At 38.2% G+C, this 24,467-nt stretch overlaps 1 protein-coding gene across 10 annotated transcripts in view, besides 1 other annotated feature; it reads left to right on the forward strand.

The window, feature by feature from the left end:
- The window catches only part of PPP2R2A (protein phosphatase 2 regulatory subunit Balpha), an 81,173-nt gene that overhangs the window by 24,447 nt on the left and 32,259 nt on the right, over positions 1 to 24,467 (forward strand). For 4 of the 10 annotated variants that reach the window (NM_002717.4, NM_001177591.2, XM_047421936.1 and 1 more), the window contains one exon: positions 22,936 to 23,033. In NM_002717.4, coding sequence (NP_002708.1) covers positions 22,936 to 23,033 — 98 coding nt within the window. Of the gene's footprint in view, positions 1 to 17,531; positions 17,617 to 22,935; positions 23,034 to 23,948; positions 24,020 to 24,467 lie in introns of all 10 variants that reach the window. The other 6 variants (XM_047421935.1, XM_047421933.1, XM_005273559.2 and 3 more) reach the window with 4 other exon arrangements.
- Positions 18,687 to 19,186: an enhancer, noted in NCBI's record as "H3K4me1 hESC enhancer chr8:26192157-26192656 (GRCh37/hg19 assembly coordinates)". NCBI's record gives its function as "activates a minimal SCP1, AML or CMV promoter by ChIP-STARR-seq in naive H9 embryonic stem cells {active_cell/tissue: H9 hESC(naive)}" and the evidence as "EXISTENCE:reporter gene assay evidence [ECO:0000049][PMID:30033119]".

Raw genomic sequence — 24,467 nt, forward strand, 5'->3', positions numbered from 1 at the left:
CAGAATTTATATAAAAGTAGATTTGTTTTCTTAAATCTAAATTCTGATATTGTGTACTTCTTTTTTTGAGGTGGAGTCTCACTGTTGTTGCCCAGGCTGGAGTACAACGGTGCGACCTCGGCTCACTGCAGCCTCCGCCTCCTGGGTTAAAGCAGTTCTCCTGCCTCAGCCTCCCGAGTAGCTGGGACTACAGACACCTGCCACCACGCCCGGCTAATTTCTTTTGTATTTCTAGTAGAGATGGGGTTTCACCATGTTGGCCAAGGTGTTCTCGAACTTGTGAGCTCAGGTGATCCACCTGCCTCAGCCTCCCAAAGCGCTGGAATTATAGGCCTGAACCACCATGCCCAGCTTGTGTACTGTTTTTAATGGCCTTTTCTTTCTTCAATTAATAGCAAAAAAATGATACAAATTAAAATAGCTTTTGTCTAAGATACTAACCTGCATTTTTAGACCTAAATTTCAGGCATGAAGCAGTCAGCCAAAAGCCGTGAGGTTTTAAAGAACTTAATATATCAGAGAAAACTTCAGCTTTCTTAGATAAAAATCAGTTTATATTTTTTTACTCCTGAAATAATTTAAATTAACACATATATTTGTCTTAGAATGAAGACATTTGTCAAAGACCTTTTGGGCTGCTGTTAACAGAATAGTACAGACTGGGTGGCTTACAAACAAACAACAGACATTTATTTCTCACAGTTCTGAAGGCTGGGAAGTCCTAGATCAAGGCAACTGCAGATCTGGTGAGGACCTACTTTCTGGTTCAGAGACAACTGTGTCTTGACATGATAGAAGGGACAAGGGCTTTCTCTTAGGTCTCTTTTATAGGGACACACTAATCGCATTCATGAGGGCTCCACCCTTATTACCGGATCACCTGCCAAAGACCTCCCTTCCAAATACATCATATTAGGTTTCAACATGTGAATTTTGTGGGGGATGAACATTTAGTCCATAGCAACATAAAGTAGAACATAAGATTATAGTCAGTTACTGATTGCAGGGCAACTAAAATACCAGTTTTCCATTGGGAAGATGATTTGTCTTGAAACTAAGACAAAGGATTAAGAGAGTAATGGCTTTCTTTGTTTTCCATCAGGAATACTCGCCTGTTACTAGTAGTACAACATTTGTATCGTAGGTTTAGTACTGTGCTCCCTCTGCCTACCCCAGAGGTCATTCCTGTCATTCTCCCCTTGCTCACTAGTAGGTCCAGCCACAGGAGCTTTCTTGAGGGCTTTGAACTTGCCCCTTTTATTCTGAAATAGACCTTCCTTCATAATCTTGACTACCCTGTGTAAATTAACTCATTTCCATTCCAACCCCAAAAGAGATGTACATTTAATGTTATCTGTTTTTAAAATATCTTTACTATTATTTGAAATGATGTTACTTATTGTTTGCTTGCTTATTGTATGTAGGCTTCTTTCTCTCCAGTTTGTGAGTTTCACGTATGAGGAAATCCTGATTTTTTTGTTCTGTGATTTTCATTCTTAGCATCTGTAACATTTTTAGGCACAGGACAGTATCTGGCATTTAGTGGGCATTTGTTGAATGGATAGATAAATTCTGCAATATGTCATCTCATTTTAAAATATATGATAACTTCAGTTGTTTATTTTACTAAATGTACACTTTGTTGTTTAAAATAGGGAAATGAAATAAGCTAAAAATTAGTAGCACTTCCCAGTTTTTTGAACCAGTAAAAGGAGACCCAGACAAATCCCCACAGTCACACAAGCTAGTATATGTATTATTGACCAAACTACTTTAAAGACCCACATACACAGTGGTTCAAAAAATTAGCTTGTTTCTCTCTCACGTGACCATTGGTGGCAGAGAGGGATCTGAAGTGGATAAGCTGGTTTTGCCAGAGATTACCCAGGATTGCAGGTTTGTTCTGCTCAGGGTCTAGGTGTATTGCTCTTGTGTGCACGGTCAGATCTGGCTCAAATCTGTGTTCTATCTAGCCCATGGGGGAGAAAAGAGAGAGAAGGGCAAGTAGCTACCTTTTAATGATGTGACAGAAATTTTATTCATAACCTATTGTTTAGAACTTGGTATTAGAGAAACATGCAGCCTCTAATTTCCTGTTAAAACTCTGTGTGTATGTGGTTTTTTGGGTTCTGAGAGTGAAGGTGCCAGGATGTGCCATTACTAAAGGAGAAAGGGGGAAATGGCCACTCTTAGGGACGATTAGTCTCTGCTACAGCTACTAATTCTTAGAACTTTTACTCAGGACTTTGTTCATTCCTCTTTCCTTCCTCCTTCCAGTGTTACTGTAAAAGCCTTATAGGATCCTAATTCAAATAGTTTAATATTTTTTATGACATGAAACAATTGGAAATTTGAACAGTTACTGGATATTTCATACTAAGGAAGTGCTTTTGATTTTTTCAAGGTACGGTAATGGTGTTTGATTATATTGAAAATGGTGGTCTTTTATAAATCTTTCCTGAAATATTTATGGGTGAAATAATTTGATGTCTGGGATGTACATGAAATAATGTGGCATGGGTTTATAGATGAAACAAGATTGTCTATGAATGTATAATTGTGGAAGCTCTGTGATAGGTACACAGGAATTCATATGATGCTCTTCTGCCTACTTTTGTATATGATTGAAATACTCTGTAGTGAAACTTTTAAAATACCAGTTTATACTGATACCTCCAATTTAAATTGATACCGCAGGGTTATTCCTTACTTCCCTCATTCTATATTTATGTCTTTTGGCTCTCACAGTGAGAACCTTAGTTCCCAGCCCTGTAACTATTTTTTGTCAGAATATAAAGATAGACAGAACCTGGATATTTGATAACATTAAGCCAATGAATTAACTAGCCCTGGGTTTACTTGCCATGCCTTGGGACTTTTTATGTGGGATGACAATCTTTTTATTGTGGTAAAATACACATAAGGTTTACCATTTTAAAGTGTATAGTTCAGTGTCATTAAGTGCATACAAATCTGTTGTGCAGCCATCGCCACCATCCATATCCAGGACTCTTTTCATCTTCCCAAACTAAAACTTTATACCCATTAAAACATTAACTCCTCATTCCTGTCTCCCCAGCACCTAGCAACCCCCATTCTACTTTGTGTCTCTATGAATTTGACTCCTAGATGTTTCATATTGGTGGAATCCTACAGTATTTGTCTTTTGTGACTGTTATAGCGTATGTCAGAATTTTCTTTCTTAAGGCTGCATAATCTTATGTATGTACCACATTTTGTTTGTTCACTCATCTCTTGATGGACATTTGGATTGCTTTCACCTTTTGGCTATTTCAATAGTGTTGCTATGAACACTGATCTTCAAGTATCTGTTCAAGTCCCTGCTTTGAATTATTTTTGGTATATACCTAAGAAGTGCAGCTAGTGTATCATATAGTAATTCTGTGTTTAACTTTTTAGGAACAATCATACTGTTTTCCATAGTGGCAGCACCATTTTACATTTTCACCAGCAATACGCAAGGGTTTTAATTTCTCATTAACACTTTCTACTTTTTTTATAAGAATTTTATACTTCTAGGTCTTTAGCCCTTTGATCCACTTTGAGCTAATTTTTAGTATGATGTAAAGCAAGGGTCCATTTTTTTTTCTTTTGTGTGTGGATATCCAGTTTTCCTAACTCTCATGTTTTGAAAAGACTGTACTTTTCCCCATTCGTTGGTCTTGGCAGCCTTGTCCAAAATCATTTGACCATATGTGCAGGGGTTTACTTCTGAGCTCTCTATTCCATTGATAGAACCCATTAGGGTGGATTTTTTTTTATTTATACAAAAAGTGCTTTAGGGATTTTGTTAGGAATTAAATCTTCCAATCCATGAACATGGAATGTCTTTTCATTTATTTATGTCTTTAATTTATTTTAGCAGTGTTTTGTAGTTTTCAGTGTAAAAGTCTTTTGTCTCCTTGGATGAATTTATTCCTTAGTATTTTATTCATTTTGATGCTACTGTGAATGGAATTGTTCTCTTAAGTTCCTTTTTGGGTTGTTCATTGGTAGTGTGTAGAAACAACTGATTTTTGTGTGATTTTGTGTCCTGTATCTTTGCCAAGGTAAGTGATTTTATTCCCTAAGTGCCGTGCTAAAATGTTTGTAAATCACCTTTCTTTCAACACCTCACCTGGAAATCTGGTGAGATCAGGTTTGACCCTTAGGCACTGTGCCTTACATGTGCTGTACAGGATAGCTACCTGTGTTGGTTATATCCTGTACAGCCATATGTGGTAGACGTTATGTGGGTGTCAACTCTCTTGTTCTCTTGAGTATTCATCAGCAGAAGACGAAAAAGCAGAATCCTGGTTATTTGGCAAACTCTACATGTTGTACTCCAAGGTGTCAGATCAGCAAATACGTTGCTGCCTGATTCAGTTTTGGTTGATTCTTCCCCTCCGATATCATTAATATTCTCAGGAGATAGAGTGAATAAGCTATTGGGAGAGGGTAAAAGAGATACATGATGTAGGGAACGTTTTTTTAATTGTTAAACCAGAAGTGGGTATTTTGGTTTGTGAGTTAAAATACTGCTGGTATTCTAACTTACGATTAGTCTTTAAGTATTATGTATATTCCACAGTGCCAGGTGCCCACTGCTGGGCATGCAGTTGTAGGTACTTCTTTATAACTCTGGCTAGTTTATCCTGTCTGTGCAATTAGTTCATACTGCTGAGCAGCTGTGTCTCCCTGCCTTTTACAATTGTAGGTATATTGTTAGTGTTGCTGTGCTCACTAAGTTTTGTGATGTTTTAAACGGAACCAAGTTTGGTGGTATTATTATTATTTTTTTAAAAGAAAGCAGTTACTTAAATTAACATGGTAGAAAATATCCTGGGGATTGATGGTGTAGATTAAAAATCTTTGTTTTATCCAACAATAGAATTGAATTATATGGCTAGGAACACCAGCAAGCACTTCCTGTCACAGTTATCGAAACAGTCTTTTAAAGAATGTCTAGAGGGCCTTACTTAAACAAATAGCTTGTCTTGACTTTGGGAGGAGGATGGTTACCTAAGCCCATGTGTTAAAACAGACAGATGACACACTGAAATGACCAACGAGCATAATAAGGAGAATTCAGTATCCTTGGAAACCCTGGAACGGTGCCATAACTAAACTAAAAAAATTTTAGCAGGAAACAGTACAAACAAGAAACATCGTGAGAGAAGGCCTTAGTGTTCATTTCTGTGGTTGTGAAGCGCTAGTAGGAGTAAGTGACAGGACCTACTTTGAATAGCCAGAGTTAGAATTGAAGGGGGAGCCACTGGACAATTGGTTCATGTATTCTGTACTTTGAAACTGGGATTGAAAACTAAATGGCTCTTACCAAGAGAAATGTGACCAGAGAAATGTGACCTGAGAGAGAAGCACAAAGTTGAAACTCTGCCCCCAGGCTGCCTTCTTTGTCAGGCAGCCGCTTAAGGTGGCCCCAGTGATCCCTGGCTTCTGGTATTTATGTCTCTGTGTAACCTTGTCCCTTTGAGTGTTTCTGGACCTCTCGTGACTTGCTTCCACAAGTGGGGCAAGATGCTGGGATGCTGCTTCAGAGGTTAGGTTACAGAAAGGTTTTGGCATCCATGTTGGGCTGCCCTATTTCACTTGCTGAGGGAAGCCAGCTACCATGTTTGTGTGGTTCCCTGTGGAGCTCACATGTCAAGGATCTGTTGTCTCTGGCCAACAGCTGGCGACCTGACACCTGTCAGCAGCCAGGCGCACGAGCTTGGAAGTAGATCTCCTCCTCCAGTCAGGCTTTCGGATACCTGCAACTTTGTGAGAGACCTTGAACGCAAGGCCCCCTGGCTAAGTCACACCTAGATTCCTGACCTGTTATGAGATAATAAGTGTTTGTTGTTTTAAGCTGCTACCTTTGGGACAATTTTTAAGGCAGCAATAGAGAACTTATATAGGAAGTAACAATGTCAACATTTCCCCTCCTCGGTCTAAGATTTGAACTTGGTTCTAATGTGTTTTCTGGTTGAACCCAACACAGTACCCAATATTACATAAACACAGGCCCTTTTCTTTAAAGATACATACAGAGAATGATAGACACATCCAGATTCAGTAGGTACTGTAAAAGAAGTTGACCAGTATGAGCAGTAACTTCCTATGAAATAGACTTAGTGCAGGAAACAAGAGAAACTGTTGAAGTTTAAAGAGCAGCTAATTAGTTGCTCTGGGAGACTGATGAGAATTTGAAAGAATCAGAGAGCAGGAAGGAGTTCTTAAGTGAAATTTGTGACTCTCTGGAGTCAAGTAGCAGCAGGGTTTTAGAAATATTCCCTCAATACAATGGGAAAAAGAAGTTGAAAATTGTAACAAAAATATAAGGAACATAGCATTTGTTTTCGTTGATTTTCTCAGTTGCATTGTGCACGTTTCAGGTGCTCAGTAGCTGTGTGTGACTAGTGGCTACTGTACTAGACAGTGCAGAATAGAACATTTCTATCGTAGGAAGTTTTGATGGACAGTGCTGTGGTAGAGTGTCTTCCAGAGAACTCTGAGGAAAAAACTATGATAAACTAAGAATCCTAAATTGATGAAGTTATCCTTTACATAGGCAGTGCAACAAGATGGCTTTTTATAGGTGTGCAGGAACTCAAAGTATATCACTCGACTACTTGGGAAAAAAAAAAAGACTTAACTACACCCAGCTGAGTAGTTAGCATCTCAGAAGCATGATAAGTCAACTTCAGCATTGTTTAACTCTGTATCCTGTTTCCCAGAACAACCCAAAACTTACATATAAAAGTAGGGGAAAATCTTCATCTTTGACAGCTATTAAGAGGATGCCCTTCTTAAGCCAAACTTCAGACCGTCAGAACGGTGGTTTCAACTTAGTTCAATTCCAGAGCTTCCCCTCTCCTTTTGACGATAAATAAAGCCACAGGAAGCAGCAGTTTTTAAAGACATTAATCCATTGAAACCACTTTTGCTGAAATCACTAAAAAGTCTCCAAGTCACCAAAACCAAGTTTCATTCTCAGCCCTCTCTTGATCTTTAAGTACCTTTGGATGCAATTCATCACTGCCTCCTTTTAAAAACACGGTCTTTGCCTAGCTTCCAGAAAACTTCTTCCTACTCACTAGAAGTTCCTGTGCAGTCTCCTTTTTTACCTGGTCTCCAGGCTTAATCCTTAGCCCAGACCTCTGGCTTTCTTTATCTATACTTATTCACTAGGAAATCACATTTAAGTGTCATGTGACTTTAAATGTTTTCTCTGAGCTGATGATACCCTAATTATATCTCCTTTTCCCTAATCTGCTGTCAGATCAATCTAGCTGACTATGTAGAAAACACACACACAGTTTCTTGCACAACACTTCTGATAACATATATTCATCTGTAAGTTTTTCTCTGTACATCAAGCAAGCAATCAGTTTTGCAGCAGACACCAGCTGGGTGTCCCCCCATTCAGTTCCAACACTGTCTACCTGGAAATAGCATCATATTCCCCAGGTTGAGGGGGCTCGGTCCCACAAGACTGCCCCCACTTTTTCCAATGCCAGTTGGAAGCCCCAGGTTGTTTACCTGTGCCTCTGACCAAGTGGCCATACATAGAGGTTACCAAGACCTCCTTCTTGGGTTCGATTAATTTGCTAGAGTGGCTCACAGAACTCAGGGCAAACATTTACCACTTTATTATGAAGGGCATTTTAAAGGATACAAATGAACAGCTACATGAAGAGATATGTAGGACAAGGTCTGGAAGGGTCCTGAATGCAGGAGCTTCTATCCCCGTGGAGTTGGAGTGCGCCACCTACGCAGCTCCTGGATGTGTTCTAGTTTACCTTCCTGGAAGCCCTCCAAACTCCGTGGAGGCTTCATTATGATTAAGTCATTGGCCGTTTGTGATCTGCTCAGTCTTCAGCCCCACTCCCTTCCACTTCTCTGTGGCTACCACCTGAGTTCTGACTCCTCTACTCTCTTAGGCTACTGCAGTAACATAGGAACCATTTCTTCCTTCCTCCAGTTTTCATTGTTTTCACACAACAGATTTAGAACCTCTCCAGTGTCTTATCACATGTTAGGACAAGTCCACTGCCCTTTTACCGTGGCCTACAAGGCCATTGCCACCATTTGTCTTACAGAGTCTACATTAATCTCACTGGCTTTCTTGTTTGCATCAAGTTTGCCAGCCTCTTTTCTCATTAGGCCTGGCATTCTGGAATGCTTTCCTTCAACAAGTTTGGATGGCTCATTCCTATGTCTTCATTTTGGTTTCTGCCTAAGTCACCACCTCAGAGAGGCTTTCTTTGACCACCCTACCTGAAATAGTATTCCCCACTCCATGACTTTTTATTGTTTTAGGGCTTTATATTTTTAGAGCACTGAGCACTGCCTGATACATTTTATATTATTAATTTGTTTATAGTATGTGTTTATCACAAGAATGTAAGATCCATGAGAGCAGGGATTTTTGTTTGTCTTACTCTTGTACCTAGAAATAGTGTCTAATACAGCTTCCACGTGGTGTTGAGCCTGTGGGTGCACAGAAGTCAAGAACTGAGGTTTGGGAACCTCTGCCTAGTTTTCAGACGTGTGGAAATGCCTGGATGCCCAGACAGAAGTCTGCTGCAGGGGCAGGGCCCTCATGGAGAACCTCTGCTAGGACAGTGCGGAAGGGAAATGTGGGGTCGGAGCCCCCACACAGAGTCCCTACTGGGGCATTGCCTCGCCAAGCTGTGAGAAGAGGGCTACCATCCTCCAGACTACAGAATGGTAGATCCACCGACAGCTTGCACCATGCCCCGGGAAAAGCTGCAGACAATCCACACCAGCCTGTGAAAGCAGCCAGCAGGGAGGCTGTACCCTGCAAAGCCACAGGAGCAGAGCTGCCCAAGACCATGGGAACCTACGTCTTGCATCAGCATGACCTGGATGTGAGACCTGGAGCCAAAGGAGATCATTTCGGAGCTTTAAAATTTGACTGGCCTGCTGGATTTCGGACTTGCATGGACCCTATACCCTCTTTGTTTTGGCCAATTTATCCTATTTGGAATGGCTATATTTACTCAATATCTGTACCCCCACTGTATCTAGGGTGCCTTGTCTCAGATGCAACTTTGTACTGTGGACTTTTGAGTTAATGCTGAAATGAGTTAAGACGTTGGGGGACTGTTGGGAAGGCATGATTGGTTTTAAAATGTGAGGACATGAGATTTGGAGGGGTTGGGGCAGAATGATAAATGGTTTTGCTGTGTCCCCATTCAAATCTCAACTTGAATTGTATCTCCCAGAATTCCCACATGTTGTTGTGGGTGGACCCATGGGGGGGTAATTGAATCATGGGGGCTGGTCTTTGCTGTGCTATTCTCGTGATAGTAAGTCTCATGAGATTTGATGGGTTTGTCAGGTGTTTCCACTTTTGCTTCTTCCTCATTTTTCTCTTGCCGCCGCCATGTAAGAGGTAACTTTCACCTCCCGTCATGATTCTGAGGCCTTCCCAGCCATGTGGAACTGTAAGTTAAATTAAACCTCTTTTTCTTCCCAATCTTGGGTATGTCTTTATCAGCGGCGTGAAAACGGACTAATACAGTTGTATTCCCTGTTTAGATGCTGTTAAATAATATTTCATGTAAGATAAGTATCTGCCTATTAATGATATTAGGTGCATTCAGCTGCATAAGTACCTGAACATTATTCTTGGCTTTCATCTGTAGCTGTCCACACTTTATCAATTATCAAGCCTTGTTTTATGTACTTTGGAAATGTATCTTAAAGTTTGTTCACTTATGACCCCTCTTTGGCCTTGGTACTTTAATTTCTTCATTTGTTAAATGGGTATATTGATACAGCCAACTTAATAGTTTTGTTGTGATGATTAAATACCTAACATAGAGTATGTAAACTTTACTTATTTTTATTTATTTTTTATTATTTTTTGAGATAGGGCCTCACCCTGTCACCCAGGCTGGAGTGTGGTGGCGTGAGATCTTGGCTCACAGCAGTCTCAGCCTACTGGGCTCAAGCCATCCTCTCATCTCAGCCCCACAAGTAACTGAGACTACAGGTGTGCGCTGCCATGCCTGGCTAATATTTTGTATTTTTTGTAGAGACGGGTTTTCGCCATGTTGCCCAGGCTGGTCTTGAACTTCTGAGCTCAAGTGATCCTCCCACTTTGGCCTCCCAAAATGCTGGGATTATAGGTGTGAGCCACCATGTTGGCTTGTTAGGTAAATGTTAAATGTTGCTGTCTAATGATAACCATATTTTACTATTACTGGCTCAGGTCACTATCATTGCTAAACTGGGATTTCTGTGGAGTAACTCCAGGTTGGTCTCCAGTTTTCCCTTTGCTTAGGTTCCTCCCAGTTCTCAGTCTCCTTCACTTCAGTTTGAGCAATCTAAGGTGCATGTCTGACTGGATTGCTTTTACTTAAAATTCCCAAGTGGACTTCTTTTTGTCATTGGAATAAAGTCTGTAAAATGTTTTGTAACATACCTTAAAGACTCCGCCATTTTCTCTAAATATTTTGCCTCTTTGTTTTCAGTTTGTGGGTGAACTAGAACAATTCTGGCAGGAAACAAACTGTATTGGGTGTGACTCTACCAAGAAAGATGGATAGTGAAGTGCTTTCTGATTCTTATAGCATAGCCATAGTAATCCTAATTTGTAAAGATTTTAGGGAGATATTAATAGCCAGATACCCATTCTAATTATAAAAATACCTTAATTAGGCATACATAGATGCAAGAGTTTCATACTGTACTACTTGTTTGTATAATCTCCTTGAGAAGCTATTTACATTATACTTAATAAGGCCACTGAATGAGGTGGTTTGCTTTTGTGAAGTTAATTAGCCAGTTAAAAGTTGAGGAACATCTAATGAAGATGATAACTAACTTTAAGTCTAGAATGCTCAATTTAGAGCTCTTCTTTCTAACATATGTAACAGTTATATACCAGGGCTTATTGTCTGTTTAAAAAACCACACCTATAGACTAAATGTATTAGCAGCTGTTTATCTTTCTGTTCTTGGTTGCAGTAGGATATGATTCCATTCCATTTTATCCAAACGGGCTATCAGATTATCCAGGAACAAGTTACAAAGAAGGGAAACTGGTTCCAGGACACATCTCTGGAAGTTACCTTGTGGACCCTGAGAATGTGTTACAGGTGTGCCAAGATCCTTCAGCCCTTGGAAGCGGGTGCCTGAGTGGGGTCTTAGCTGACTAGAGTGCCTGGGCAGACAAGAGCAGCTCCATCTTCTCTTTAGAGTATGTTACATAAGCATTAAATCGAGGGTGTGCCCTGACGTAAGGAAAGTAGAAGCTCACCAGCCTGCTGCACTCACATCAGCGAGAGGGAACATTTGCCCCTCCATGCCTACTGCCCTTCCCGCCCTTCAGCCTCAGGTTACAGGAATAAATAAGTTAATTAATCCCAAGTGGGGAGAGCCTTTGAAGAGTATTAAAAGGAGAGGAAGGAATGGTTGGAACCTGTTCCCATCAGGAACAGATGAGTAGGTCAAGCTTTATTCACTTTTAAGGAGGAAGGGATTCCTAAAGGACAAACCAAACTTGCTTTTCAGGGCGTTACAATAAAACGTTCTTAAATCCTGAATATCACACATTTCTGGGAGGAATGTCCTGCCCTTTGGGAAAAATAGCAAGAACTTCGAGCTCCCTCTAGAGGCCAGCAGTGATAAAAGAGCGTCGTAGTGGTCTGTAGGGAAATCATTTTACAATGATTAGCTAAGCTACCTTTCAGCAAGAAACTATCATTTTATAGATGTATTATCCAGTAAAATGTTCTCTTATATTGGGAAGAAATTGGTGCCTTTGAAAAGAAATTTGGGTTAATCATACTCTAATTAGCTATGAGGGGCCAATTGTAAAGTTCATTTACTGTGTAGAAATACAGCTGAGAAGATCATGAAAATGGGTCATGTGACCTAACAGAATAGTATATTCTAACCATTGGAACAAACCAGATCAAGATGAGAACCTGATTTCTGTGCTGTTTTGTGCCGGAATGTTTCGACAGTAGACCTTTGAATTGAACAGAGGTAAAGGTGATCTATAGTACCAGCTGTGTTCTCACCCACTCCTCCCCCTCATCTGAACAAAACCAGTGAGTTCCAGAAGATTAATATTAGGAAATGCAAGATGCAGGCATATGTTAAAATTTCTGAGTAAGCTAACATATACAGTTTCTTAACTTTTTCAGAGCCTCAGTTTACTAAATGATCCATCTATTATTCCAGGATAGACATTTTAGTCATAACCATATATGTCAAGGAGTTAGTTATGGGTTTAACCCTTTGATGTATTTAGTCCTTTTGTTCTCAATATATTTATACTTCTTTATAGAACTCACTGAGAGAGTTCAGTTCTAAAAACTTAGTATGAACTATAGAATGACAGAAGTGATTTTATGGTAATATTAATATGTAAAAGTTGCATTCCCACCAGGAATATGTGAAAGTAATTGCCCAATACCTGCACTAAGTATTGCCTCTTTTTAAAAAAATCTTAATCATTGGAATGGTGTGTAGTGGCATATCATTTTTCCACCTTGTGGAAATCCATCTATTATCAAAGTTTCCATGGTTTTATGCAAATAGCTATCAAATACCTGTCACCTGGTTTCTCTTTCCGAGCTCTGGTAACTATTCCATAATTCCCTGATTGTTTTATTTATTTTATACAAACAGGATCAAATGTACTTTGTAACATTTTAAAAACTCGGTGATACATCGTAGACCATATTCTTAGAGATTTGTTATTTTTTTGTACTGGGTATGTGCAAGCACATATGGCCAGACAGCAGAGGAATATTTACTAAAATAATAGTGGTTTCCTCAGAAGTGGGGTTAAGAGTGATGATTATCCTTTTTCTACAAAGTAGTTTATTTGTGAGATTAAGGAATGAAGTTAATTTTAATTAAAAACCTATGTTATGATAATCTCATTACTACAAGTGATCTTTAAAAATCATATTGTATATAAACACATCTGATACATAATTTGCAGTTTGCATGAATCTGCTAAATGACTGTTCCAGGGGTGAGATTTCAGGGTTTCTTACACTTTATTTTTTGTGAATTGGTTAGTTTATAGTGATAATTGTATCTTTTTTATGAACATAATGCCATCTTAAATATTTACATATTTAGATTCCTATAAAACTTTTTAAAGTACCTTTATTGCAGTACTGATTTTAAGGTTCCTAAGTGGTTGATTTAACCATTGGCTATTAATCTTTAGCTATTTTGTTGTGGTCAGACAGTATGGTCTTTATAATTTGATTTCTTGGAGTTTCTCTGTGACTCTTAATTGCATACCTTTTTAGAAGAAATATATACTTTTAATTTGGTATAATTTTTCTGTGTATTTGTCATTTATATTTTTTAGGTGTCTATCCCTTCTCCCTCCCAGCTCCCATCACTGTTCCTGTCTTCTACTACCTTTTTTTCAACTCCTTATTCCTAATAACCCTGAAATTGTAAAGTTAAAATCTGCATTGGGCATTGGGCATAAAAATTTATGACTGTTACATTCTCACCATACCTTTTATCTACCTACCTGCATAGTACAAAACCCCCTTTTCCTATTGAATTCTTTTTAAAAAAATTCCACCAGACTTTGGGGACATCATCTGTATTTATTAGGCATGGGTCAAGTATGCTAGCTATTTGGCAGTTAGCAGGACAGTTTTGAACAAGAAAAATTGTTCGATGGTCTGCATAGCTTAGAATATACTGCCAAATGTTCGTGATGCTGGAAAAAAGCTTGGTTATTTTCTAAGCCTACAAACTGTTTTACTTACCAAGGGTTTTTTCAGGGGATAGAGGCCACGACTTTTAGTACTAAAGTTTACTGTGTAAATCAAGGGAATGTTATACTTTGAAATGTTGGGATTTTTTTTACAAAGAATTCTTCACAGTTTTGCAAAATCACATCACTACTGCAATGCTGCTAATGGATTTTGAGTTGTGGGTACCATATACCCGTGTAAGTCTACATTTAACACTGAACCCTTTGTGTTGAGTACTCTGCATACAGTGTCATCATACCTTGAGTATTTACATTTAGTCATCATGTTTTCAAATAGTCCCGCCCTGCCCCTTCCCAGGACTGCAGTGATACTTACGTTAGAGCACTTGATGTTATCCCACAGGTCAGGTCTTGGTTACTTTTTCTTCCTGTCTTTGCTTTATTTTGTTTTGATTATAGGGTAGTTCTTCAACTTCTTGATATTTTCCACTACAGTATTTAAATCTGTTAGTCTTATCCAATGTATCTTTCACTTCAAATAGTATGTTTTTTTATTTTTAGTCACATTTTTGTCTTTCGTCTTTTATTTCTCATCATGTTGATGATTTATTCTTTTTTCTTTTTTTTTTTTTTTTTTTTGAGACACAGTCTGGCTCTGTCGCCCAGGCTGGAGTGCAATGGCACCATCTTGGCTCACTGCAACTTCACCTCCCGGGTTCAAGCGATCCTCCCATGTTCAAGCAATCCTCCCACCTCGGCCTCCTGAGTAGCCGGGACCGCAGGAGCACGCTACAGCACCTGGCTTAGTTTTTTTGTTTTTTTAGTAGAGACAGGGTTTCATACGTTGGCCAGACTGGTCTCAAACTCCTGACCTCAAGTGATCCACCCGCCTCAGTGCTGGGATTGCAGGCGTGAGCCACTGTGCCTGGGCCATGATTTATTCTTGATCATATGGAGCATATTTACAAAAGCTGTTTTTGGTCCGTGTCTGCTAGGACCTTAATTCTTTCATTTTTGTCACTTCTGGCTCTGTTTACACTGGTTTTTCTTCTGATTATGGGTTGTATTTTCCTGCCTGTTTATATTCCTGGTAATTTCGGATTGGAAACCAGACAGTGTGAATTTACATTGTAGAGTGTTGGATTTTGTTCTAGCACATAGTTGAGACACTTGGGATAGATTTGATCCTTTCCAAGGATCAAATGTTTGTTGTTAAACTTTGTTAGGACAAGTTTAGTCTTTAGTGCTGATTTAGCCTGATTACTAAGGTGTGACACTCTTGTGAGAACTCTACCTGCTGGTGGGGATTTCTCTTCTCTGGCTGGTGGGGACCCTAATTTTTCAGAGCCTCATGTCACTTCATAGATGCCCAGATCAGTATTCAGCCAAAGATTCTAAGTGAGCCGCCTATAGATACCTTTTTTGGGGTACTCTGCCTTTACGTTGTAGCTGCTTTAACCTCTGGCCTCTGGATTCTTCATAACTCTCACCATGCTGTCTTGGTGCTTCCAGTCAGTAAGCAAGAGCTACTACAGGAATCACTTTCTTTTCCTTTCTAAGAGTATCCAACCCACATTCATTGTCCGTTGTCTGAAAAACAGTTGTTTCATATATTCTATTCAGTTTTCTAATCTTTCACAGCAGGACAATAAATTCAGGTTATCTTAACTCCTTTGTGGCCAGAAACAAGACCAGTTATCAGATTTTTAATTTTGATTTTTATCTTTTACTTTAACCTCTTGAAAGTAGTAGTGGTAAAAATCACACATTTTTATTGGGTACTTTTTCTGAATGCCTTTGTTTATGTAGTCTTAGTGTTCTTTGTTAGTCTTTGTCTTTTTTACTGAAATATAACAAAAAGTAGAGGAGACTGATTACCTAGTAGAGCTTTACAGGAAGTCAAATGTTATTTGTAGAAAGATACGAGTTATTATAGCCAGCTTGACGAGAGCATTTTCTTCCAGGTATGAACATTTAATTTCGTATTAGAATACTACATTGGCAGCCCCATTTGTTTGTAGATACGTGCTCTTTACACAAATGCAGCCCTTTGTGGCAGTATTTGGAATACAGAATTTTAAGAAATAGTGGTTACTCAATAGAATTTTCACAAACTTCATGATTATCTTAAGATTTATGCTATTTTGTGTTGCATGAAACAGATATTTCTGGATTTTCAGTGTTGTTTATTTGCTACAGCAATGTTTAGAGTGTTTTATGAGTTTTAACCTTTTAAATTGTTACTATTTCACTGTAAAGCCTAATTATATTGAGGGAAATAACAGAATAGGGTTTGTCAGCATCTTAAGGAATGGATCCTACATCAGCTGTTTCAAATGGCACTTTCAGGAATCTATAAATCAGATGGTTAAAAATACTTAAACAGGCCAGACGCAGTGGCTCACGCCTGTAATCCCAATACTTTGGAAGGCTGAGGTGGGAGGATCACTTGGCCAGGAGTTCAAGAGCAAGCCGGCCAACATATTGAAAGCCTGTCTCTACTAAAAATACAAAAAAAAAAATTAGCTGGGTGTAGTGGTGCATACCTATAATCCCAACTGCTCAAGAGGCTGAGGCAGGGAGAATTGTTTCAACCCGGGAGGCAGAGGTTGCAGTGAGCTGAGATCATGCCACTGCACTCCAGCCTGGGTGACAGAGCAAGACTCTTTTGTCTCAAAAAAAAAAAAAAAAAGAAGAAGATACAAATTGATATCAAAATACCTTTTGAAAAAAAAATACTTAAGCAATTCCTCTCAGTTGTTTCTTCCCCTCCTTTATTTTTATTTTTTTAAAACGGGCATTTACATATTAACTTGGTCCTTATGTCTTGTAATTCATGCTGTAGTTGTTTATTTTGCCTTAGGATACTCCTTTGATTTTTCTTAAGCATTTACTGAATCCTTTATTGGTTAATGCTTCATCTGTAGGGATTACAGTGCTTTCTCTTAGCCACATTAGGGGGTAGAATTTAGAATGTGTATCACCCAGTGCCTTGAATGTAGCAGATTCTGAATAAATATTTAAAAGTTGTAGGGACAGGCAGTAACTGTAATGTGGTCATTAATAAGTAGTATAAAGTTGATGTTGCTTGGCTCTAAATATTTTACTAAACACAGACATTTTGACAATGAAAAAGAGGCAATAAACTGAATACTTACACATTATCCCTTTTTTCATCATCCAGAGATTTATAGAATTCTGTGCTGCCACCTTATCCCTATAGTGCTAAATATGAGTCCTGAGTCTGACAGTTGATCACTGTGTGATTTTTCTTAGGCTGGTTAATCACTCTAATTTGTTTTTCTATACATTGAAAATGATATGCATATTACAGTGATGTTATAAAGATTAAGAGAGAATAAATGCCCACTTAGCACAATGTTTGGCACATTTTGGTTGTAACATCTGTATGTGCTTTGGCATTAGTTTGATATGACTTTGTGTTATTTTAATGCCAGTATCCAGTTAATATAAAGCAGAGTTTGGCAAACATTTTCTGTAAAGGGCCAGATAGTAAATGTTTCCAGTCTGTGCCGTCTATTCAACTCATGGGCATGGCTAAGTTCCATTAAAGAATTATTTACAAAAACAGGTTGTGGGCCGTAGTTTTCCAACCTGTGACTAGAGGTTACTTTTGTATTTCTTTGTCTTTTTTGTTTTTGTTGCTGTTTTCATTTGACAGCTTTGGTACAATGTATTTCTTAACTATTGAGTATTTCAAATACCTTCAGCTGTATTAAAAATTATATAGGTAATACAGTTATAACCCTCTTTGCACTTTGATTAATTTCTTTCAGATCACTTATTTGAGACATAGTCCTCAAGTGGAATTATGAAATCAAAGAGTGACTCCATAAAGTGCCTCACAACACAAGAGCTGAGGTATTTAGAGAATGCCAAGGCTACTAATAATTTAGTCTTTTAATGGATAGTAATTATTTGTTACACCCATTTATATATACTATTTGTGAATTTCCCCTTGCTGATTTTTATACTGAGAGTTACATTTTTGAACCTTTGGCTGTATGTGTTCTATTGTGTTTCTTATAATACATAAGAAACAGAAGATAGGTGGCAATAAGGAAACGGCCTTATGAAGTAAAAACCGACCAATGACACTGTTGTCATTCCCACTACCAATTGCTCTTCCACTCACAAAAGAAAGCAATTATTTCACCTTCTAAGAGTGAAACCTGCCTGGGTGCTGACAGTTTAGAAAGAGGGGGTGGAAAAAGTAAGAATTTCATTCTGTATAATAAATTACCAATCCCTTGGTTTGCATTAATAGTGTATAGATAAAATTTAAGAACATTACATTACTTTTTTTTTAACAAAAATACTCTTATGCCTTTTAAATACTACCTTTATATCGCACAATTTGGAAGTCAATGTGTATCTAAAATTGCTGGGTTGACTTAATGCATAGTAGGGCAGTGGACTAATGTTCTGAAAGGTCCTTCTTTATTAACTGTATTAGAATGTTCTTTTGTAAGATTAATACAGGCATTTTTCATTGTAAAATAACATTGTGATTGGTGATAGGACAGATTTTTCCTTTTAAAGAAGTTGTTTGTTCTTTGGCATTTTGGTGGTGGTGGTTTGTGAGAATATAACTCAACTGATATACTATACTAAAGTATGCACAAATTCGGTATGATAGCTCTGACAGTGATGTCAGTTTTTGCTTTTAAAAAACATGATACACAGTGCATTGTTTAAAGGTGCAGAATTCTCAAATTCCAGCATTCTTGGGTTTGCAATAAAAGTCAGTATCCGGCCAGGTACGGTGGCTCACGCCTGAAATTCCAGCATATTGGGAGGCCGAGGTAGGCGGATCACAAGGTCAGGAGATTGAGACCATCCTGGCTAACACGGTGAAACCCCGCCTCTACTAAAAATACAAAAAATTAGCCGGTGGTGGTGGCAGGTGCCTGTAGTCCCAGCTACTCAGGAGGCTGAGGCAGGAGAATGGCGTGAACCCGGGAGGCGGAGGTTGCAGGGAGCCGAGATCGCGCCACTGCACTCCAGCCTGGGCGGCAGAGTAAGACTCCATCTCAAAAAAAAACAAAAAACAAAAACAAAAAAAGTCAGTATCCACTCTGTAATGTTTTAGACCTGTGCTGTCCAGTCTGGTAGCCGCTAGCTACATATGGGTATCAGAACATGAGAAGAATATTTTCTAAGAGTAGATTATTTTCTAAAAACCTGGATACCAGTATTTAGCCAGCCCTGTTTGGGTGTAGCATGAAATGGTATCCCTGTTTGCAGGACTGTGCTTCCTCACTTTTTGCATGTCATGGCATTCCTAAAAAGCAGCGATGTTTGTATGGCACACTGGGATACACAGCCGAGGATGCTTACAACTAGGGCTTACCGATCTGAGTGCTCTGCAGCACCAGGCAAGACCATACCCCATTCTTGGCATGCCGGTATGCAGTGGCACATACGGTACAAAGCTGCTTCAGCGTGCTCCCTATAACTCATTCCTGGATGTTTTTCTTGGTCTATGAGCGGAATTTGAATTCATTCTCCCTTCTTATTTCATCATTTTTATATGTCATATTCCCAGTGAGACTGTGAGACATTGGCATTTCACAACTTAGAAGAGCTTTCAAAGCATCATCCATAAACTTAGAGATTTAGTGAGTAACTGTATATGATCTTTCTCTTCTCTTTTGTTTAAGGGAGAAAGGAGGAAGGAACACCATGACGTAGTGATATATTTAAATTCTGTTTTAGAAACCAGGAAAATAGTTTTCCTACCAGAAATATGATTACATTAAATATATGCGGTATAAAGATCACAGCAAGGAGACCATGAATCTGTCCATCTACCCCTCCCCGAAATAAAATTACTCTACACTATTCAGATAAAAAGTGACTTGGTTGGCTGTTTCTGAAACTTTCTGTTTATTGGCTTTTGGCAAGATAAATAGTAACAAACACCAGTGTCTTAAAATCTAAAAATTGGTAATCCATGTACCTACTGTTTATTTCCCTCAAGGATTTTACAGTGAGTTGACTTTTGTGGTGTAAATCTTTGGTTCTTGTCCTTTCCTGATATCCAGCCACTTGCTGTTTGGGCCAGTTGTTTCTAGGATTCCTCACCCTACACAAGGGTCCCTCTTAAAATTCTTTACCTTTGCTACAAAACTAGTTCACTGCTAAACACATAACCACATCACTGTACGCTAAAAATGTCATCATAAAATAATTGTTCCTGCCATAAGAAGTGATACGTTATTGGAGCAAATGTCTTGTTTCTGTTGCATCTTGCAATCAAGTCTTTTTCTTCTCCCCACACACCCTTCACCTTCCTCTTCCATTCACATGTTCAGTGATTACATTATAACTGGTTGTGAGAGTCCCCTGTCTTCAGTTTGGAATATTGTACCTACAATCATTACTTGATTCTTGTTCTGTCTTCTCATAATAAAATAGGTAAGGGCTGGGTGTTGTGTTTTGTGGTTCATGCTTGTAATCCCAGCACTTTGGGAGGTCAAGGCAGGAGGATTGCTTGATGCCAAGAGTTCGAAACCAGCCTGGGCAACATGGCAACACCCTGTCTATAAAAAAATAAAAATAAAAAAATTAGACTGGCATGGTGGTCCGCACCTGTAGTCCCAGCTACTTGGGGAGCTGATATGGGAAGATTGCTTGAACCCGGGAGGTCAAGGCTGCAGTGAGGTATGATTGAACCACTGCATTCCAGCTGGGGCAACAAAGCGAAACCCCATCTCAAAAAATAATAAATTGGCGTGGAATGTGCCTTCCCACCCCACCCCTCAGTCTCAAATCTCAATTGTTTTACTGTAATGCTGTCCTTACTGACTTAATCATCTCTAGGTTTTACGTGTTCAGTTCACTTAAGGAATATTAAGGTTTCTTCCTTATTAGAAATTGAGCCCGGCTGGGTATGGTAGCGCTTGCAAACTTCCAGCAGTTTGGAAGGCTGAGGTGGGAGGATCACTGAAGACCACAAGCTCGAGACTACCTTGAGCAACATAGTGAGACCCTGTCTCTACAAAAAAATTTTTTAAAAATTAGCCAGGTATGGTGGTGCATGCCTGTAGTACCAGCTATTCAAGAGACTGCGGTGGGAGGATTGCTTGAGCCCAGAAGTTCGACATGATTGCACCACTGCACTCCAGCCTGGTCAAAAGGCCTTTTTTTTTTTTTAAAGACTCTTTTAAGAAAAAAAAAAGTCCATGCTGCACCAAACCTACCTGTCTAACTTTACTGCTTAGCAGAGAGTGTAGTCAGGCTAGTCACGCCATGGTCCTTGACATCTCCTTACTAAGTGATAGTTGTAACAGCTCATCAGCCTGACAAGGAGTTGTAATTAATTTAGGTGGATGCAACAACTTGGACCTGGGAAAGAGATAAAATAAGTAATGGGCAACTCGGCCCATTATTCCACTGAGTTGAACAGGAGAATGAGTCTGGTATTGGTTTCAGATGTGAGCATTTCACCAAGCTGAGAGCATATTCTAGAGATCAAAGATAGGTATTTTGGTACAGCAAGATTTCATATTCAAATTAACTAGTTCATTTGATGGTTAGGCTAAAAAAAACCCAGCAAATTATCAATGCTGTAGGGAAAATTGAGCTGGACTTACGAGAAAGAATTTGTGTCTTCAGGGTGTCTGTGTGAGGGATTTGAATTTAAAGATAATCTTGACTCTGTATGTTTGTATTATTATTTGATTTTAGAGCCTAACCCTCAGATTTGATTCAATATTTTTTGTCTGCTACTCTTTGCTCCTACTTAACTCCCCAGTTGTACTCTAATGTGCTTTAAGTGCAGGGACTTTGTATATTTTTAATCCTTTATTCGCTGTAGAAGTCAGTAGTATAGTACAGAACTCCTAATCAAATGACTTCTCAGTACTTACTGGTGTTTGGCTTTATGTACTAGCCCAGTATATTCAGTTTTACGCCTTTTATGTTACTTAGGTAAGCAGTTACTCAGGTAACCACCGTGGTGTAGCCAGGGGTTTTTTAACCTGGCGTTGAGTTGTTGTCCAAACAGTCTGAGATAATATGCACATTTTTATGAGCACTTAAATATGTGCAGTTTTGTGGGAGAGCATTTGTAACTTTTGGTAGATTCTGAAAGAGTTCAAAAAGATTAAATGCCTTGGACCTAGACAACGGAGGAAGAAAAGAAACCTTCTCAAAATCTGGGCTTTAAAAAATTGCTAAAAGAAAATTATGAAATGCAGTGCTGGATAGATTATTGGTGAAATACATGTCAGTAAATTTAAAATTTTAAAGTATGTATATCATCAGATTCTTAAATTCTTAACAGTGAGCTTCTGTAGACCAGAGGATGTCTGTTCTTTTATAAAGCTGATTTATTTTAAATGCACATGATAGGGGCTTTTCTAATTCAGCTTAATGCTTTATAGTGAAGAACTTCTTAATGACACAGTGATGAATTTTACCATGTTACTGCTCTATCTTATGCCCATTTCTGTAATTTAGACTTTTTTTCTTAGGAAAAGGGCTCTAGTGTGAAAAACCAAGAAAAAAAACTTGACAGTTTTCTTTGATCATGACTGTGAAGTCAGCACTGAGCTGGTAGAATCCATGTGACGTGACTGATTCTAGTGGTCCTGCAGTGTAGGGGAGCTGGAGGAGCCGTGCACATTGAAGGCACATAGCACGAAGCATTTCTGCTATAAAAAAGCGGGATCTATTTGCAAACACTTGTTTGAAGCCATGATTTTGAATTTATGACTTAAAATTCCATCTAAAAGTATTTTTACATTTAAAATTCCCTCTCCTTATTAGTAATATGTGCCTTTATTATAGATGATTATTTGCATTTGCATAAACAAGCTTATCAAATGTATATAAGAAAATTAGCAAGATAATGTTTAAGGGTGCTATCAGAATGATTCACAAATTGTTGATTTCTTTGCATTCACAAATTTAGTGAAATGTTAATAAATTAGTATTTGTTGTATTCTCTGTTAAAATAGTTTCATACTGGTTTATTCTGAGGAGAATTTTTATTAGTGGATCAAAATATTTATGAAAGAACTTTAGATTCATGTTATTTCTGATGGGTGGTTGATGTACTTCAAAGATATACTTCATAGACTTGGAATGTTTGGGAAAACACGCTAAGTTCTGAAACTAGTGAGTCGGGAAAGAAAAACTAATATCTTTTTTTGTTTTGTCTCAATTATACAGCAGATATAATTTCTACAGTAGAATTTAATCATTCTGGAGAATTACTAGCAACAGGAGATAAAGGTGGTAGAGTTGTCATCTTTCAACAGGAGCAGGAGGTAAGTGTTTAAAGTTTATTGTCTAAATTTCAGTTTGATCTTAGGACTAGAGCTTGTGTTGCACTGGAGAATCTCATCAGAGGATGTTGGAATTTTAAAAGAAGTGTGTGTTTATTGAATACAATGTCCAATATATAGACAGCTCTGGTTCTCTTAGCTTTGTATGTGTGCATGTGTGTACATGAGCGTATGTTGTTTTGGTTTAAAAACATAACACTAATTGTAAAAATACTTGATTAGAGAAGGGGGTGGAAAGTGATGGAATAATCCAAGATTTTAACGGTTTTGAAGCCTTGGCCCTTCATTATAATTTTTCCTTTGAAACTCCGTAAAGCAAAGTTGCTTTGACTTCTTCTCAATGCTTGGTTTACTTTGTACAATTGAGGGGTGAGAGGCTAGTTTAAAGAAAAAGCAGCTCAATTATTTTGATGTCAGTTCATAATAATACTGTTACAATGATTTAAATGTAAAGGTTTAAATGACAGTTGCATGTACATGCATGTAAAGTAACTTAAAAGTGCAGTGCTAGCTTTTTGAAGAAAGAAAATTGCAGAATCGGTAATTAAAGTGGGCTTTTGTTTTGTTTTTCTTACAACTTAGGCACACTTCTAAATTTAATTGACCAGATTTCTCACTAAAAATTTTTTGCTAAACAAAATTTGTCACACTTGGTTTTTTCTTATTCATTCTCTCCTTCCATTTGTAGATCAGAGTTTAACCATTAAAATCAGTTGTTTTGGAACATTCTGCCCCTATTTATAATATATTTAAAAAGTTTAAAGTAATGTGGATAAATTGCAGGGTTTTACAAATACATGTCTAAATCATAACACAGAGTTAGGTTTTAAAGGATTGTGAAATTCCTTAAATAAGCAAAGAATCTAGTAATAATACTACTACTTTGCACTTCTATAGCGCCTTTGACCTGAGGATCTCAAAGTGCTTTACAAACACTAATGAATTAATCCTCACAACACCCCAGTGAGGTAGGTAATTTAATTTTAAAAGAAATGATTAATAGTGTCTGATTAGAAGATGCACAAACACTAAATATGTCTTTTATTATTTTTTTCGTTTGGAAGAAAATATGAAAATAAGACTCAAGCTTTGCTTGACAAAGAATGGTCTCGTGGGAAGTGGGGGGCTAAATCAGTTTTCTGTTTTTAAGTAGCCAAAAACTCGACCATAAGAATCTTGACATACTTAGAGTTGACATGGAACCTTACATTATAATTTCATTATAATTTCCCTTTATTTACTAACAGGAAAGTCAAGATATAAATAGATTACTTTATTACTTAGTGGCAGAACTAACAAGCAGAACCTGAACTTTTGACATGTCGTTTTTCAGTATTCTTTGCTGTTTTTCATGCTAGATAACCAAAATGTGAAAGTTTTTATCTAGAGTTTAGAGCAGACCTTCCCATAGGTGTT

The sequence above is a fragment of the Homo sapiens genome, chromosome 8 (assembly GCF_000001405.40).
Source record: "Homo sapiens chromosome 8, GRCh38.p14 Primary Assembly".
Lineage (NCBI taxonomy): Eukaryota > Metazoa > Chordata > Mammalia > Primates > Hominidae > Homo > Homo sapiens.